At 35.5% G+C, this 20,137-nt stretch overlaps 1 protein-coding gene across 34 annotated transcripts in view, besides 2 other annotated features; it reads right to left on the bottom strand.

The window, feature by feature from the left end:
* Positions 1 to 20,137, bottom strand: part of CCDC91 (coiled-coil domain containing 91) — a 359,711-nt gene that overhangs the window by 319,873 nt on the left and 19,701 nt on the right. For 10 of the 34 annotated variants that reach the window (XM_047429089.1, XM_047429082.1, NM_001387000.1 and 7 more), the window contains exons 2-3: positions 4,433 to 4,499; positions 4,095 to 4,154 (exon numbers count right to left, since the gene is read on the bottom strand). The exons of 10 other annotated variants lie outside the window; for them this stretch is intronic. The gene's annotated coding sequence lies outside the window, so the exon portion shown is untranslated. Of the gene's footprint in view, positions 1 to 4,094; positions 4,155 to 4,432; positions 4,500 to 19,259; positions 19,332 to 20,137 lie in introns of all 34 variants that reach the window. 14 more of the 34 variants (NM_001352086.2, XM_024449033.2, XM_024449037.2 and 11 more) reach the window with 4 other exon arrangements.
* Positions 438 to 607: an enhancer, noted in NCBI's record as "experimental_27355 CRE fragment used in MPRA reporter constructs". NCBI's record gives its function as "activates a minimal promoter by MPRAs in K562 erythroleukemia cells, with activity observed for both the introgressed and non-introgressed 12:28382705 variant alleles {active_cell/tissue: K562}" and the evidence as "EXISTENCE:reporter gene assay evidence [ECO:0000049][PMID:34662402]".
* Positions 2,937 to 3,106: an enhancer, noted in NCBI's record as "experimental_27354 CRE fragment used in MPRA reporter constructs". NCBI's record gives its function as "activates a minimal promoter by MPRAs in K562 erythroleukemia cells, with activity observed for the non-introgressed 12:28380206 variant allele {active_cell/tissue: K562}" and the evidence as "EXISTENCE:reporter gene assay evidence [ECO:0000049][PMID:34662402]".

The following is a 20,137-nucleotide window of genomic DNA, read 5'->3' as shown; positions in this document are numbered from 1 at the left end:
CAAAACTTGCTTACCCAGAATATATGGAGGATTGAGTTTTCAACTTAATTTAAGAAGCACTATCAAAAATACATTGGCCAATTTCCCTGCCTTAGGCAATGAAGTACAGAATGACCCCAGATTACACATATCCTTTATACATAAATGGACATTAAGGGAATGGAAAGGATATATTCCCAAAATACACTGAGATTTCCATCTTCTCTTTCCATCTCTCACCCTCAGAAGTACAATGCAATGTTAAAGTAATACTTGTGGTTAAAGAATCATTTCTGAGAAGAATGAATAATGAAAAGTTTAGCCTTGATAAAAAGTCAACAAAGATAAAGAACAGGTATCTTCAAATAGGGTAAGACAGAACTCTTAGCTGATATAATGAAAAGCTCTTGGCTCACAAGGTCCATAATAAGTAGCATCTCTTAATTTTGTCAACCCAAAACCCTTCCTCCAAACCTTCTTCTAGCCACAAACACAGACAATTAGTCCAACGTGAGCTAAAAAAACCAAAATATGTCCCCATCATTAATAATCAGTCTTAGGGATAGGAAACTGACTCAAGCTGGATCCATCAGAGTCCTTCCCTGGGATGTTTCCAACTAGAGATGGAAGAAGAAAAGCTCTGTTTCTCTCTGATCACAAAACTCTCCTTTTCTACTAAGTTCTAAACTCAACTGCCTTCTCTTACTTCCTCAAACATGCAAAAGTTCAGTCCCATTTTAGAAATCTTGCCTTAGCCAGTCCCTGGAATGCTCTTCCTCCTGATGTTTACATGGCTAGCTATTTCTTCTGATTCGTATCTCAGCTTTAATGTCTCTTCTAGACAAAGGCTTTCCTAAAGTAGTCACTTAATTACTGTCACATCACTCTATTTTAATTCTCTGCATAGCACTTACCACTTTAATATTCTTCTTTTTTATGCTCTCTGCTGTATTTCTAACACCTAGAATAGTATCTGGCTCAGGATATGCACTCCATTCATAATTTGTTGAATAAATCAATAAAAGCTATGAAGAAATTAGCCCAAAGCCAGCAGCAGCCATGATCCTAGCTCCAGAAAGAAGCCAGTCTGAAAGAGTAAAGCCATTTAAAAAAAAAAAAAGCAGCAGCAGCAATGAAAAAAGTAGAACCCCCAGAGCTATCTACAGTCATCTCTAAGACCAGCTCCAACACTGCCCATAATACAGTTTGATTACATATATAGGTGGCCTTTAAAATGGTATGTATACACCTCCCTGAGAAGAGGGATGTGTAAGACAATCCACCAGAATGTAAGAAGAAAAGACTACAATACATAAAATAAGATACTTTTATGTTGTACTATCCTTTGAAAAGTGCCATACTCTGTGTTTTATAATGTACATAATGTATTGTTATAATCATATATGTACAAAATGTACAGATAAATATACCCACACTGAGGATGTATCCTCAAAAATGTATTCTTGGTAGAGGTGAACAATCAAAAAGTCTGGAGACAATCAAAGTTAAAGAGCAAATTTATTTCTTTTAACCTAACATGTTTCAGCTTTCTTTCATTTCCAACCAAGAGACTTCTGAAATGTGCTTAACACATACTTGGTACCCAAATACTTGAAAATGCTGAATGCAGAGACTAACTCTTTATGGGTCCAGAGAACAGACAAATGAAAGTTAAAGGTAGGCAGATTTCAAACCTGTATGAAAATAACTTTCTAAAATTTAGGTCTGTCCACAAGTAATCACTGGCTCTCCAACTATAAATTTCCCACTATTAGAAGGGTTCAAGCAGAAGCCTGGTTACCATCGATAAGAATTCTGTATTCGTGAGGTAATCTATGCAACAAATGTTAACAGAGTGAAAATACTAAGTGCTAGGAATCATACAATGAATTAAATTAAGTCCTTATGTCCTTGGATATCACAGTTTAATAGAAAGACAGACTTGCAAACGTATATATAGTACACAATATATCTATGCAACAACTGAGAAAGATAGTAATTTACTCTTCATGGGTGAGGATATCTAAGTTAAATACTATGAATAAGTAAAAGCCAGTTTTCCTGTTCGTCAAAAAAGATAAGCACATTCCTGGCAAAGACATAGCCAAAAGGACAGGTTTATAAAGCACATAGTATGGCAAACCAAAAATACCACAAATAATGCGGAATTGTTGAATGATAAGGTACCTATGGTGGGAGAATAACTACAAATGAAGTTACTAGATAGGTGGCTAGAAGCAAAATTATGAAAAGTCATGATAAGGAGTTTGGAAGGAGGCAAAGAACAATAAAAATAACTGTCTTTTAGAGTGTACTACTTTGTTCCAGACACACTCCTAAACTCTTTAGACACGCTATCACTTTTAATCCTTAGAAAATTTCTATATCACCTCCTCTTTTTCAATAAGAAAACAATGCTATAGTGAGATCAAGTAATTTACCTAAAATCAGTTAGAGGCAAACACAGAACTCATTGAAGAATTCTGAAAACAGAAATAAGATGTATTTTGAATAAGTGACATGCATAATAGAAAAAAATGGCTATAAGGCAATGTAGATAACAGTGTGAAAGTAGAATAGGCTAGTTTGAGGGAAATCTATGCAATAAACTAATAATCCAAAGTAAGAGGTAATAAGGGAGTGTGAATAAGGAAAAGGAAAACTAAAGGATCCCATCGGTTTCTACCTTCAGTAAGTGGGAAGAAAAAGCAAGTTTGGGTACAAAAAGGCATAAAATGAAGTAGATGAGGTGTAGAATAATTAGTTTGGGCTTAGACAATATGGACACATTTGAGTTCGAGGTTTCAATAAAAGAAAGACCAAAAGGAAAAGGTCTAATAGGAAGTTGACTAGAAAGAGAAAGAGTTCAAAAAAAGAGGTAGAAAGAATCGCTAGGATAAACATATTTAGAAATCACCAACATACATCAACAATTTTAAAACTGGCCAAGCCAAGTAGAAAATAAATATCCATGGTCATCATCCATGCAGAAGAATTCCAAAAAAATCTATGTAGCTACTTCACTATCAAGAAGGTGGAAAATAACTCCCCATCAAGTGTGGTCTGCACATAGTGACTTTGTTGCAAAGAGTACAATACAGAATAAGAGAAAAAGAATAACTTTCCAGTGAAGAAGCCTAATAAAAACCACCTTAGCCAAATGATCAAAGTAAACATCAACAATGATAAGTCACAATAAGTCACAGCTTAACAATGATAAGTTGATAGTAAGTACCCTTGATACAATGTGATAAAAATGGCACTTCACCTCTATGCTCTTCCTCCTAAAAACCCTAACCCCAGTCTAATCATGAGGAAAAACATCATATCAATCTCAGCTGAGGAATAACCTACAAAATGTCTGACCAATACTCCTCAAAACTGTCAAGGTCATCAAAACCAAGTAAAGTTTAAGAAACCACCACAGCCAGGAAATGTCTGACCAATACTCCTTAAAACTGTGAAGGTCATCAAAAACAAGTAAAGTTTAAGAAACTGTCACAGCCAAGAGCAGCCTAAGGAGATATGACCACTAAATGTATGATAACCTAGACAGTAACCTGGAACAGAAAAAGGGCAGTAGATAAAAATAAAGGGAATATTAATACAGAATGGACTTTAGTTAATAATTATGTATAAATATTGGCCATTCATTTAAACAAATGTACAATAATGTAAAATGTTAATAAAAGGTATGAGGTTTCTGAGAACTCTCTATATTATTGTCATAATTTTCTATAAAGATAAAACTGTTCTAAATAATAATGTTTATATTTCTAAGTAGGCCAAGAATAAAACCACAGAAAACCATTACTATTCAAGAGATAAGCAGAGGAAAATAGGTCAGTAAATAAAATTTAAAAGGTATGACCAGAAATACAGAAAGATATAGACAGATCTAACATATGTCATAGAGGTCAAAGAGGATAAGGAACAAATAGAATCCACAGAATTTAAGACGTCACTGGGAAAAGAAACGAGGTGGAGCTACAAGGATATGAACCACGACTTTGTTATTCACCCAGTTAAAAATCTCATAAAAGATTCTCCTAGTTTCCAATCTATTAATAGTCTTCCCTGTTCCAGTCACAACCATTTAATCGCCAAAAACCTACCTCATAATGAATCTTCATTCACAAGTAAAGTATTAGATGCATGAGACAGAATACTTTCATCTGGAAGTAACAGAAAATTCCAAAATAAAACTGGTTAAATCAATAAGGAGATGTATAACTAGTATCTCACATAACAAGAAGGCCCAAGGTAGAGCAGTCTTTAAATACTGCAAGTCAGAGCTTCAGAAATTCTAATTCCCTTGGCTCTGGCCTCCTATATTTAGCTTCACCAACAGGCTGGAAGCAAGATGACAAAAATATTTTGAGATTGTGATCTGCCCATCCTTAAACCTGCTGCCAGCAAAGAAAAGGAATTACTATGTTTCACTTAGACTTACCAGAATTAATCCTGGAACTTGGAATGAGGTCTCCTTTCTCTGAGTCACATAAAGGAGGGTTAGAAGCCTAAACAAAACAAAGGATCTGTTAGAAAGGTAGTGGGAGGCTGGGCGTGGTGGTTCACATCTGTAATCCCTGCACTTTGAGAGGCCAAGGAAGGCCGGATCACCTGATGTCAGGAGTTCGAGACCAGCCTGGCCAACATGGCAAAACCCCATCTCTACTAAAAATACAAAAATTAGCCAGGTGTAGTAGCAGGTGCCTGTAATCCAAGCCACTCTACTCCGGAGGCTGAGGCTGGAGAATCACTTGAACCCAGGAGGCGGAGGTTGCAGTGAGCCGAGATCATGCCACTGCACTCCAGCCTGGGCAAAAAGAGTGAAACTCTGTCTCAAAAAAAAAAGGGGGTAGTGGGAAAAGGGGTAATGCTAAATAGGCAGTCAACAGCAGCCAATACAGGAGGTTCTTATTTGCATGTTTTTCTAGCTCAAGAACTTTTAAAAATTACCTTAATATGATGAAGAAGAGATTCAAACAAAATAAGGGCCATACAATTTCCTTCCTAAAATAACCAAATGACAACCTCAGATACTATCAGTACTGTTTCACAGATCAAGGGGGAAAATGGCACAAGAATTTATAAGTTTTCTCTCATCACTCCAATTTTATATTGCAAAAATACAATGTATTTGGATATTTTCAAAGCAGAATCTTGTATCTTACACTTTAAACTCTTATTTTGTTGGAATAGGATGAGAAGAGATCCCAAGGTAGTGGAAAGAGCACTAAACTTGGCATCAGGGCATGGGGCTCTAGTCCTAATTCTTCAACTAAATTACACCATTTTTGAAGATGGTCACCTAATATCTAGGGTCCAATTTCCTCCTTTCTTAAATAAGTAAGTTAGGAGAGATGATCTCTCAAGTCTTATTCCTGGTTATTTCCTAATTAAAAATAATATTCACTTGTTAGCTAGAAAATTTACACAGATTATTTACCGTTGTAATTCTGCGCTAGCCAATTCCTAAAGATCCACTCCAAGACTATGGGCTGTTGACACATTAAGCTTTTTCCTACAAAACTTCACTTTCACAAAAACTTTCACTGTGGCCAGAAATGTGAATAGCATGATGTTACAACTTCTGAAATAACTCAAGAATTTAATTCAATTTCTCTTTAAACCCAAGTTCATTATTAAAGATTTCAGTGTACCTACAGATGCAAACCCTCCCTGTTGGACAGGAAAACGCAAAATGACAAAAACTTAACCACTTTGAGATTCAATTAAAGACAAGATTTCTAACCACTAAGCCTAAATGAGGAAGAAGATGAAAATCAAAGCACAATGAAAAAGCTGGAATCACAAACAAGTCACAAACAGAAATGGAAATTTCTATACAGAGAGAAAGAAAAAGGGAGGAAATACTCCCCCCTATACCAGTATATAAGCCTAGAAGAAATTAAGCCTAAAAGTCTCATGAGTTTCTCTTAAAAACTATTGATTTACACAAAATGGACAAAAATAATTTCCAAAAATAGGTTGATGACAGTAGAAACATGCCCTTTGGGAACCTCAGCTTAATAAATTGTTGGTAAAGCAGACCCAAAATCATATGGGATGACTCTGGATAAAACCCCATGACTTAAGCCAACTGCATTATGACCTGGAGTTGGTTTTTCTCAAAATTATTAATAATGAAAAATACTTACACAGGATACACATGTATTGCCAGGAAAAAAAATGTACTTCTTTGAAACAGTTTTTAAAACAACCAACCACCCACAGAAACCACATGGGCACAAAATGAAACGATTCTGGTCACTGATTTGTGGAGCACTTAAGCATTCCCCAAGTAAAAGACTCCGCTTTAGGCTTTCTGAGACAAGCAGACTATCCATGAAAATACCTGATTTAGAACTACCAAGGAAACACTGCAAACATACCTCCAATGGCCTGAGTTTCAAGAGAAATAATTTTCTCCAAGGAGAATCTTACAGTTTTAAAAGCCTACTTCTTTTAAGAAGACATTTCTTTTCCTCACAGTAAGACTCTAGATAAAGCTTAAAAATTGGCTCTGAAGATAAAATGAATTAAATTAAATCTAACTCAAAAGTGCTTAACGCTACAATAGTATAAGTTAACACCTCCTAAAACTGATTTTGCATCAGTAGCAGCATCACTAATACATTACAATTACTCAATTTATCAAATTACATAATAATAGCCTAGTGAGATATTACATCAGATATAAAATATTGAGGTAAGTTTCAAAAGAGAAAGGAAGAAATATACAGGAGACAATATTGTTTAAGAGACAGTCAAAAGGAGAAAGCAAGAAATGAGTGCCAGGTAGTTGCACCAGAACGCTAGAAGCTAAGTACACTGAACAGGTATAGAGACTCAGAAAAAGGAAGCCAAATGAAACCACAGTCAGGCTAGCATGTAGCATTGCCTAGAGTATAATGCAAAGATGACAAAGAAACTCATTTACATATGGAAATATCAGACAGGTACTAGATATGTTAACAGAAAACAGAAAGTTTACCTTGACCCTCAGCATCACCAACTGTCCACCTACTCCTTTAAGTAAATAAGTAAAGGATTATCTTTAACCATGGCTTATATTGTCCCTACGAGAGATAAGAACACCATAAAACCCAGAAACATGCAAGAGCTGCAAGTTCACCTTTATGTGCAAACACAGGCTTCATCACACTTTCAATTTCCTGCCATATTGCCACTAAAATTGACTAGGTTTTTTCCCCCTCTACTTTGGTTTTATGTAAGGTGCTGACTTCACCCTTGGATAGGCTGGCGAAGCTCACCTTGTCAGACCCTGCATACCCTTAAAGAACACATATAATTTCCAGAAGAAATAAGAAGAATGGAAAAATAGATGAGTTCACAAAAGAAACAATTTTAAATTCTATGTATCTATAGTCTTCAACCTTTAGAGATGATATTACTGGTGGTATTTGTTACCACATATATAAATCCTAAAAAGACCAAAGTACTAAGAGCCACCCAAGTGCAGTTGTAGCTATCTTATATAGTTCCAACACAACGAAAAGGATAATAATGCCAAGGATGAAAAGCCCTAGGATTGTCACCTACTCAGAAAGAATACAGATTTAAAAAATGACCAAATTAGATCCATTTCAGAAAACGAAAAGGGAAATTCTATAACTATACTGAGGATCTCTAACTAACCAAACATAAAATTTGTACACCAAAATTCATTCTATGGTAAAACAACTGTATTCTAAGTAGCAGCTGAATACCATGATTTATTATGGATACAGAAGTAAGAAATGCCTGGTTTTTCAAGGCTTAGTAAAAATAGGAAGTGAGAAGTCTAAAATATAGGAACTACCAAAAAATATAGTACATATCCCTAGTGTATACATTTTATGCAAAGATTTATAGACAGGGTGACAAGATTTACTTTATAAAGTATCATAAAAGATGAACAGAGTAAATGAAAAATTAAAACATATACTTCCTACATATCACCAATAGCTTACTCACAGACATCTCACCAGCACCAGCACCACCACCACCACCGCCACCCCTGTGGTTCTACACTGTGGTTACTTCAAAGTAAAATTATGATAAAGGTTGGAAGGAAATATGAATTACAGTATACAGATAGCATTTAACTTCCAACCAAAGTGGAAACACAGAGACCAGATTTAACCTCTAGTTTCTAAGCAACTAGAAAAATGAACAATAGATGAGAAAAAGCAACTAGAAAACTGAACAAAGGATGTACAAGATGAAATAATGATGTTCAAGTACTGGACAACAGCACAAAATTGTGATTCCCAAAAGAAACGAAACAAAGTTATAACTCCCAAACTTACAAACTGGAGTCAGTTTCCAGGCCAAAGAGTATGGTGGGGGAAGCCAAGTAAAACTGACCTCTCACTGAGCTAAAGGGGCAGAGTTAAGAGTTCACAAAGCAGCTAAAATTTACAAGTCCAAGCATCTGAGAAATAGAGCTCCAGAGAAAGAAAGGTCTTCTCAAGTCTTAAACTGAGTTCTAACCTACATAAACGTGGGAGAAAATTACCCAAGGACAGGAAAAGAACAACAAAAGTGAGTGAACAGATTATCTGGAGTTCACACATAGCTGGCAAGAATTTGTATTCCTATCAGTCAGAGTGGATAAACCTAGTAATATATGGAGCATTCAGCTGAATCCTCAGGAGGGTATCTCCTTAGTAGTGGGGCTGTATTAGACCTAAACAAAAGGCTGCTCTGGAGCCATGCTAACAAATCTTAAAAGTAAGCCTCAAAATAATCCAACTGATTGCTAGTGACATAACAAAGAGTCAGAACAAAATACAAAACTATTTAAAACAACAAAATTCAGCAATCAACAAAAAACAATTCAAAATGCCTGAGATCTAATAAAGAAATAACAGTCATATAAAGAATCAGAAAACTATAACGCATAACCAGGAGAAAAATCACTTGATAGAAACAGACACAGAAATGAGAGAGATGGAGAGAATCAGCGGACATAAAAGCAGCTATTATAAATATGCTTTATAACTTTTAAGAAAGCAGAGAAAAGGTCATGATGATGAGAGGCATGGAAGATATAAAAAAGTTTCAAATGAAACTTACAGAGGAGAACTTTGAAACAAAAAACATAAAAGATGAGATTAACAGCATATTAAACACTGTGGAAGATCATGAAGTTAAAAAAACAGCAATAGTATAACTATTCAAAATAAAGTACAGAGAGGAAAAAATACTGAGAAAAAATGGATAATTTCAAGTGGTCTAAAACATGTGTAACTGGAGGCCCCCAAAAAGGGAAGATACAGAAGAAATTATTTTAAAAGTATGGCTGAAAATTTTCTGAATTTCATGAACACTATAAAACCAGAGACCCAAGAAGCTAAAGAATAGCGAGAAAGAACAAACATAAAGAAATCATACTAATGCGCATCATAATCTAATTACAGAAAACTAATACAAGAGAATATTTGTATTTAGGCCAGAAAAAAAGAACACATTATATACAAAAGAACTAAAATAAGAATAAAAGTAGGCTTATTGCCAGAACCATGTAAAACAGAATATAATGGAGATATGTCTTTCAACTTAAAGAGGAAAAAACACATGGCAGTATAGACTTCTTTGCCCAGAGAAAATACCTTTAAAAATTGAAGAGGAATTTTTTTTTTCAGATAAACAAAGGGTAAGAGAATTATTTGCCACCAGACCTGTACTAAAAGAAATATTGAGGAAATTTCTTCAGGGAGAAGAAAGACAAAAACAGATTGAAATCTGAATCTACACAAAAGAAATTAGGAGTCCCAGAAATAGCAAACAGGTGGGTAAATCTAAAAATTTAAAGATAACTGAATATATAAAGTAATAATTTAAAAAACATATTGTTGGCTTTATAGAATATGTAGAAGTAAATTGCATATCAATACCACAATGAGAGATGAAATAAAAGCATATTGTTGTGAAGTTCTTACACTGTACATAAAACGGAAAAATATTGATAAGTGGACTAATACGTTAAAGATGTATATTGTAGACATTACAGCATTTAATTAATTAATTAATTAATTAGCAAAGATATACACCTAGGAAGTCCATAATCGGTCTAAAATGAAATCATTAAAAGCATCCTCAAACCCAATATAAATCAGTAAAGAAGGAAAAAAGCAGAAGGAAAAAAAGGAAAACAAATAGTAAAATGATATATTTAAACTCAACCATGTAATGATAATTGCATTAAGTGTAAGTGGTCTAAACAACTAAATTTAAAAGCAGACACTGCAGACTGAATGATAAAGCAAGACCCAACTGTATGCCACATACAAAAAAACCACTTTTACTATGAAAACACAAAAGAGATAAAATTAAAGGGTTGAAAAGATACACCATGCAAACATCAATCAAAAGAAAGTTGAAATGTCTATATTCATATTATACAAATTAGAATATTAAAGGGAGAAATTTCATAATGACAGATAAATTAATCAAGATACTATAATATTCAAATGTATACATATCTCCTAAGCTTTGATGAACTGTACACTTAAAAATGGTTACAATGGGGGCCGGGCGCAGTGGCTCACGCCTGTAATCCCAGCACTTTGGGAGGCCAAGGCAGGAGGACCATGAGGTCAGGAGATGAAGACCATCCTGGCTAGCACAGTGAAACCCCGTCTCTACTAAAAAAATACAAAAAATTAGCCAGGTGTGCTGGCAGACACCTGTAGTCCCAGCTACTTGGGAGGCTGAGGCAGAAGAATGGCATGAACCCAGGAGGCAGAGCTTGCAGTGAGCCCAGATCATGCCACTGCACTCCAGCCTGGGTGAAAGAGTGAGACTCCATCTCAAAAAAAAAAAAAAAAAAAAATGGTTACACTGGTAAATTTTGTTATGTATATTTTGCCAAATTTTAAAATTAAAAATGTATACTGTTGAGAATATATAAAAAGGCAAGCCACAGATTGGACTAAAATATTTGACAAACCTATCTGAAAAGGTCTTATATCCAGAATATAAAAAGAAAGCTTACATATAAATAATAAGATAACCTAATTTTTTATTGGTAAAATATTTTAATAGACACTTTATAAAAGATCTAATAATCTCAATTAAGCACATGAAAAGACGTACAACATCATTAGAAATTAGAAAAATGTAAATTAAAACTGAAATGCAGGTACCAGTACAATCTACTAAAATGGCTACTTAAAAAGATTCACAATATCAAGTGTTGGTGAGAATATGGAGCACCTAGAATTCTCATGTAACCTAGTGAGAATGTAAACTGATACAGCCACTTTGGAAAAGTTTGGCAATTGTGTATAATGTTAAACATACACTTGCCACACAACCCAAGAATTCTACTCCAAGCTATTGACCTAAGAGAAAACATATGTCCACATAAAGACCTGTCAGAGAATGTTTAAAACTAGAAACAATTCAAATGTGTATCAACTAGTATATGGATAAAGGAATAATGGTACATCCATACAATGTTACTCAGCAATTACAACGAACAAACCTATTTATATATGCAACAATATGAAAGAATCTTCATTACACCAAGTCAAAGAAACCAAATACGTACACACACACATACATACATACACACACACACACACACACACACACACACAAACATCTGCAATGTTCCTTTTATATTAAATTCTTGAAAAGGCAAAACTTCAGTGACCAAAAGCAAATCAGTGGTTGCCAGGGACCAGAGGTGGTGGGACGGGGTCTAGTCTTATGAGGCACAAGGGAACATTCTGCAGTGATTAAATATTCCATATAATATGGTAGTGGTTTCTCATATGTAAATATTTGTCAAAGTCATCAAATTACATACTTAATATTGGTGATTTTTTTTTTTAATTTTGTCTTCCAGCTTGAGGAGTTATTGGTGATTTTAATTGTTTATACACCTAAATTTAAAATGATTTTTAAATCACTATGATATACAGAAAGAAGTAATGAAAACGAGCTTTCTATTAGAGACTTTTATCACAGCCTCTATGCTTGTCACTAGTGCTAAATCCCTTCCTCTAGCAGGAATGGGAGTAGAAAGATCACAGTAGACCAACAGTCGAATGCGCATTCCCTTGAAAGCCCAGAGAAAAAGATTATCTCTTAGGCAGAACTACAGTAGCTACCAAAATCAAAAGGGGAAAGGAGTAAGATATTAGGGGAAAAAGATGTGCAATGTGTATGTAAAGTGTCTCAGGCAAGTAAGCTTAAAAAAAGGATATCTAAAGGGATCAAACACGGAGGATGGAGGAAGTGAGAACAGAGCAAGGAGTCACCAAACTAGAAAATGAATGAGACTGGAACAGGAGGGGACAGTTATAATAGGTAAACAGGAAGACAACCTTAGATGATAAGTAAGAAAAGGATGTCACCTACATCAAGATTTTTTAAGCTCTCTACAGTAAACCAGGCTGCCACGGATAGTGAAAGTTATCAGGTTCTTCCAAATTATAATCATCTTTCTGCTTAGTAAAAGTCTGTATCTTACTTTTAATTTGAAAATAAGAGCATACCACCACCCTGCATCCAAACTAAAGCCTTATTTTTTTTTTCAGGTAGTTACATAAAATAATGATTACATAGAGTTTTATCCTAGCCTGCCTAGGGTCGCCTTCATCATGCCCATACTTACCTACTTCTCCCACTCTGCTGTTGGTAATCTATTCCTACCATGAAATCCTACAGTCCTTTCACAATTTGGTTCATATTTACCTTTACAGTCTTGTCTTCTGCCTTTCTCCAGCAATTCTAAAAATTCTGTCCCTTTGTGGCACAGAAAAATAATTAATAAATGCTTAATATCTTTTGATTCACTTACTGACTTCAACTTCTCAAATACATGGGAAAACATCTGAAGTCTACCTATAAAAATGAATACAAGCTTGAGCAGTCAGTTCAAAATTGCTGTTTCGGAAAATTTCCTAAAATTTTTCCACAAGCTACGTATAACTCAAATATGTTCAACTAAACTTAGCTCATTTGCAAACTACTACCACCCCAGGATATTTAAAGGATATAATGAATTAAAATTTTCAAATATGTGTGTTTACATATACATATATTCTGTGTGTTTACACGTACACATATTCAATTATGTATTCTAATCTGTTCTAGCACCTCTGTTGTCAGTACCACAATACTACCATCTTGCTCATTTTTGCATATTTCCTAGTAGCATGTTAAGAGATTAGTTCGGGCCGTAATTTCCTTATTATAAGGGAAGATGTGTACACTATGGGTAACAGGGAAGCAGTAGTAATAATGTTCATTGTTATTGCTGAGTAGTATTATACGAATGTACTGTAATTCCTTTATCCATATACTAGTTCATACACATTTAAGTTGTTTCTAATTTTAAACATTCTCTGACAGGTCTTTAAGTGTAAGTGCAATTCTCTGAAGTGTTGGTTCCTTTACCATCATTACAAGTGATTCCCTGATGCTTATGATATTCTCTGATGTTTATATTCTAAAAGGCTAAAACAAAGAATCCCTTAACATGAAAGTAACATTCTATTTACTTCCCTCACAACGATTTTCTCTCCTGAACAAACACACTTAAAGCCATCAAGAAATTTCAGTTTCATAGATGAAGAGAGCAATTATAAGAACACTGCTCTCAACGATTGCCTGTTACCTTATTTTAAGAATGAATAAAAAATATATAACTATATAAAAAGAATGCTACAGTTTATACACACTCACAAACACACACCCCAACTTCTCTACATACAAAACCAATTAATGGTGTTTTATTCAATTATTATGATTACCTTCCTCCGGGAGAGTAGACAAAGTCCACCAGTTCATTACACATAAGTTCCCAAAAAGATGGCACAACTTTCTCGGTAGCATAACTGAATTCTGTGATATTTTTGAGGCACTATATATATTTTATTTTACTTACTGAAACCATGTTAAAGTAACTGAATTGCAAGAGAAATACATATTTGCTGTGCTTAGAAAATGACTACATTTTCTAAAGCTAAGAACCAACAAAAGCTTGCTATATAATCCAACGTGAGAAACACAGAGAAAGGATTCTAGTGAGAGTTGATGAACAACAAAGAAAGCTTAAATGATCTGCATAATTCCAAACCTCAGCATTGCTACACAATCACAATGGAAAGAATGTATGGTAATTAGACAGCTTTAAATGCTGAAAATATCCAAAGGATCATTCTTTTCTCCTAAAAGCTTTTGATCAAAGAGGAAATCCTAGAGTCTTCATGATTACTCCTTCTTTACTTAAAAAAACAAAACAACAACGATTAAGTACTACTAAGTATTGCTATTGATGGGTTTCTCCTCTCTTTTTAATTTAAGCAGCATTATTCAGCATAAGATTCCATTTTAAGTATATTAAATCTTTAACCAGTATATCTGATTAACATTTTAGCCCTCAACAGGGAAAACGGGCATAATGACTATCTTCAATAATCTAAAATGGCATTGTGGTGAAAATTAAAAAAGATGTATCAATTCCTGAGAATTACCAAATATATTGAAGCCACAGCAGGTATGTGTCACTTTTGTTAAATGTTCATATACTTGACAGTGTACATCCACTGCTTCTGTCTATGTCTGGCTTTCTAAAATATTTACTATAAATTCTGCTTGTACTAGGCATTTTAAGCATTTCACTTTTTTTCATCTTCCTTTTACATAGTATTTAGTCATTTATTTCTTAAGTTGCCTTTGGGATACCACAAAGAATAAAGGCAAATTATGAAGTAAGCTAAAGGCCACTCTTCTTAATAGATACAGTGGTAAGATAATCCTACATTATTTCAAAATTTTATTAGCTTCATATCTGACATTACATCATGCCAACCACAAACTGTTGGTTATACTGGAAGAGGAAATAATCAACTAATTTTCTACTTTTTTGGTAAGCATATTAATCAGGGTTCTCCAGAAAAAGAGAACTAAGAGGAGGTATATGTGTGTATATAAATAAAGAGAGAAACATTAATTTCAGAAATTGGCTCACAAGATTATAGAAGCCAGGATGTCCAAAGATATGCAGTCAGCAAGCTGGAAAGCTAGGAGAATCAATAATGTTAAGCCTGACAACAAGGAAAGCTGATGGTGTAAGTTCTAGTCTGAGTCCAATGGCCTGAGAACTAGAAAAGCCAATAGTGTAAGTTACAGTCCAAGTACAAGAGAAGACTGGCATTCCAGCTCAAGCAGTCAAGAAGTAGCAGTTTCTTATTATACAACTGTTTCATTCTACTCACATGTTCAATTGAGTGGATGAGGGCTACCCATATTAAGGAGGAAAATATGCTTTACTCAGTCTACCAATTCAAATGTTAATATCCAAAAATACTCTCAAAGACATACCTAGAATAATGTTTAATCAAATCTGTGAGTACCTCATGGCCTAGTCAAGTTGACACATAAAATTAAGCATCACAAGTCCACTTGGCACACATCTGCACCTCCTCAAATCATATTTAGTCTCCAAATAAAGAAAATAACAAGGTCATAATTCCACCTAACGTGATGCAACTATCCTGACTACAACTGGAAATGTATTAGCCCCTTTCCAAGAAGAGGAAGTAAAGATTTTGAATGACATTTCTATTTCCCTTGATATCCTGTAATTTAAACACTATGATGTAAAGCAAACAATACTTAAATACTATTATATATAGTCGAACTATCTTATATTACATGACAAGGGAATAAAAGAGGACAGAAAACAAACACACACACACACACAAACATAACAAAATAAGATGGAAATACACATGACAATTACAGGCCTTGTTTCTGTATTAATAGCTGGTATTAATAACTATCTTCTTCCACTGCCTATTTTGTATTTGCTTTGCCTTCACCAATCACCTCATCTGGTTGTGACTGTTTACCCAGTGGGGTGACCCTAACTTTCATTCCTGAAGGATCTGGATCATAGTACTCCTGCTTGGGTTGGGTTGGGTTGGTCAGTTTTCCACTGACCAAGACATCCTAAGGGATACCCTGTATTCCAGACATACTCTACCTCCATTATAGAACAGCAATCTAATTTCTCATTGGTAGTTAAGATCAATCAGTCAAGCCAGCACAGTAACTCTCTTCTTTGCCTATTGATTCAGAGATATGAGGAGTCCAAAGTGACCAGGCTAGAATCTTCCATTTCAACTGAATCACTGTTTTATTTCCTGGTAAAAGCATTCCACCATCTGGAACTAAGATCTCTAGGTCATCAAAGCATAAGTTCACAGGAACAGGAAGCAAAAATTTTGCTAGCAAGTCACTAGAGATAATAATGACTGGTGCCACTCCTGTTTCCACCCCTTGATTCTTGGATCCATGAATCCTGGCAATGGAAGAAAGAGCACCATATATTGGAAACTGATCCAGCATATATACAGCCTTCTGGAGAATCCTGCACCAGCCTTTCAAGGCACTGCCACCAAGCTGGCACCATAATTGAGTCTTCAAAAAGCCATTCCACCATTCTATCAAGTCAGCTGTTTCACTACAGTAGAGACCATCTTAAGACCAGTCAATTCCATGAACATGGGCCCACTGCCACATTTCTTTTGCTGTGAGGTGAGTTCTTTGATCAGAAATAATGCTGTGTGTAATATTAATACCATGATAGTAGATAAGGTATTCTTTAAATCCATGTCTGGTAGTTTTGGCAGAAGCAATGCATGCAGGGAAAGGAAATCTATATTCAATGTCTACTCCAGCAGGAATAAGAACAAAACACTGTCCCTTTCATGATGGGAGCAAACTAAGAAAACAAAATGTTAGAGCCTTTTATAATTCCCCAAGCTGCAGAATCTCTGCTTAGTGAGCCCATATCAATAGATTTGGTCTGATCCAGCTTTATGTTCCTTCTGACATTATCCTATACCCTTAATATGCATGATCACACATGTTCTCTGGACTTTTGTCTGTATAAATAGAAAACTTAAGCATTTATTTCAGAGTGTAGTACATGTCTTCATGGGTCACACTTTGTGCCTCATCTTTAGGGGCCTACTAAGACTTGAGTGTAGTTATAGGTCTAGAAACAAAGAGGAGTCGGTGGGGAGAGGTCTTGAGAATTGTCTTGCATGCCAACTTCCTCAGGGAAAGCCATTACAGTTTGCTTGGGCAATGCAGAATTAATTCCCCTGGGGGGAAAGGAGGGGCAGAGGGGAGGTGGGTAAAGAGGCCATTCCCACTAGGTGTGTGGGGGTCTCTTCAACTGGCAAAGAAGACTCATCAGAATTTAGGGATTCAAAGTCCCCAGCTTCATCAGGGTCTTTCCATGCATCCCCATTCCAATTTTCAAGATCCCATTCCTTCCCAATCAATAAACTCACTATAACTTATTTGTTTATTAAAACTCTTAAATAATTGACTGTGAGGTCTTTGAAGACCCAGAGTGGCACTTACTCCTGTATCCCCCAATGCCTAGTACAGGTACTTGAAATATAGTCAGGACTCAAATAAAGATTTCTATTAAACTGAATTTTGCTTCTCAACATACCTCAGTTCTCCATTATTTAACTTTCATAGACTCAGTTTTGGCAGTTAGTAAATCTTTGCTTATGCATCAATCAAAGGTCTGCTAGTAGTGCCTCATTAATAAAAAACGGACTTGTTCACCAAGGGAAACACATAAATAACTAGTTTGCTCACATTTTCCCAAGATGATAGAAAACTTGTGTTAAAGAAAACTAAATATGGCCTGAGAGGGATTCCATACTTCTATATCTGAGTCCTTGTGGATGAACTGCACCTATCTTAATAGGTTGACAAGACTGAAAACCTAACTTAGGGGTATGCGCCTGTAAAAGAGCTGAGTCTTGGCCAATCCCAGTGGCCATATTTCAATGATTCATACACTGCTGAGCATTCAAACTGTGTTCAAATAAGGCAAACACCAACCTGTAAACAATCAAGCTGTTCTGTACCTCACTTCCCATTTCTGTACTTCATTTCCTTTTTTTGTCTATAAATCTTCCACCATGTGGCCACCACACTGGAGTCTCTTTGAATCTGCTGTGATTCTGGGGGCTACCCAATTCACAAATCGTTCATTGCCCAATTAAACTCCTTTAAATTTAATATGGCTGAAGCTTCACTTTTAACAGATAGTGTCAGAAGCGGGATCCAAAGCAGAGCTTCTAACGACCCCCAGGAGCACTGAGTGAACAAGCAAGGTACCTGCAGGACCCATTTGTGTCCACTGATCTCACAGTGGCTGGGGATTGCGGTAAGTTCTCTCTTGGATTTCAGAACTCCATGGATTTGTGTTTTGAGCTCTCTGAGTTTCTTTGACCAAATTTCTAATCCAAACTGGGTTTGGAAGTCATGACAGAAACTGGACTGGGTCCAGGAATGGATTTGATCCAGAAATTAACTGGCTAGGGACCAGTTAGAGGCCTCTTACATCTGACTGGGTCACAAAGAAACTGGTAGCAAACTGTAATATTGTAGGGGTTATAAAATTTGGCATTTGAAAATTCACACAGGGATTTTTACATTCTACCCCTTTGTTTCATTTTTCTGGTGTGCTTAGGTAAGAAAAAAAAAAAAGAACTGGCTAAGTTAATCAAGAGAACCTGAGAGTAAAGCCAACATTTTAGGTAAAAAATGGGATCCTTAATTTCTAGAAAACTGAGTTCCTTCCAGCTTACACATTAGACCCAAGAGGCAACGAACTCTTACAGAAATGACAAAATCTTACTAAACATAACTTACAGTAAAACATTCCAAGTGAACAACAATCTACAGAAGTGCATTTAAAAATGAAGTTTCCCAAATTAATCTCATCTAGGGATGCCTATTAATATGCAGAAGCTTCTAAAAAAGATTTAGGGATGATGGGGCCCATCTGGGGGCAATTTTGAAACCTGCCAGTCTGATATTGGGTGCTAGGCAGACTCGCTAATGTCTATGTTTTGTCACACGTATTTTGCACTGGCCAGAATGGAAAAAGATAATTTTCCTTTGTGTTGTGGCTTGGGCCTCAGGGTTATGGTGCGGTGAGCCAGGTCACTAGGGCCACTCAGGGAAAGGAAACCCAGAGGCTTGGCATGTTGGCAAAGGGGTAAGAATTTCTTACCACTCAGATTTCTGGCCTCTTTTTCTCTGTTCAAACTGGTTAAATGAATGGTAAAAATCACTGTTTATCTCCTCTGTGAAGTTTTAATTAACACAAAAAAGAATTCTGAGGCTGGTCTTAAGCTGTAGTGAATCTAGTGTGCTTAGTCTTTCTGTATTGTTCTGTCATAAAGAGGGGTACCTTAGGACAAAATACGTGCCTAAAACCCTGGAAGCCTCGCTGTTCAAGATGGCCCAGCAAACTGGTCAGTAATAACCTTTGCTGCAGATACCTGAAAGAAGAAAAAGAAAAAAATAATAATAAATGAGACTCCGTCTTGTTTTGTATGTCCCTGGAAGCTTGACTTTGTAACTATTTGGCAATACTGTCTCAGTCTCTGCCATCACAATGGCTGCTGGCTCAGGGTGCAATTCCCAGCTTAGGCAATGAGTACTTTCTGCTTGATATTTGGGTGTCCTTTACCATTTTTTAATTATCTTACCCTCCACAAATCATCTTCAATTTTTCTATCTTTAAACACAAAAATATCAGCTGTTTGTCCTGGCTAAAGTCAGGTAATAAAAAATTTATAAGAACTTTTATTAAAGAGTCCTATGCTTAAAAGTCAGCTTAATTAAAAGCAGATATTCAAGCTCTAACAGCCTGGGACTCCTTGGGAAAAACAGGAGGCACCAGAGACCCTTTCCTGGCCCTGTTCTTCCAAAGACTTCATCCTATAGCCAGTAATCCAATTTAAAAACTTAGAAACTGGTAAATAGAAACTTACAACAACTGTAATAATCTTCTGTCTGTGCAGTTATATATGTGTTGTGTGTGTAATGTTTATATAAAAGAGCTCTAATTAATTGGTTTAAAGAAAAATAGGCACTTAAATATTTTGAAAGAAAAATAAAAACTGTAATGCCTTTTAGTTCAAGTGAATTTAGTAATCTTTGGGAAATAAAACATTTTAAAGATTTTTGGCAAAAATAAAGATATACGATCTAAATTATTCAGGTCAGATACTAGGTTTGTTAAATGCTTTAAGGTCATACACTGCCTTGACTTTAAAGCCCTGGGGACATATGGAATTAGCCA

This window comes from Homo sapiens, chromosome 12 (genome assembly GCF_000001405.40).
Source record: "Homo sapiens chromosome 12, GRCh38.p14 Primary Assembly".
Taxonomy (NCBI): Eukaryota; Metazoa; Chordata; class Mammalia; order Primates; family Hominidae; genus Homo; species Homo sapiens.
The sequence above is the reverse complement of the archived record's forward strand: the minus strand, read 5'-3'. Positions and strand labels throughout refer to the sequence as shown.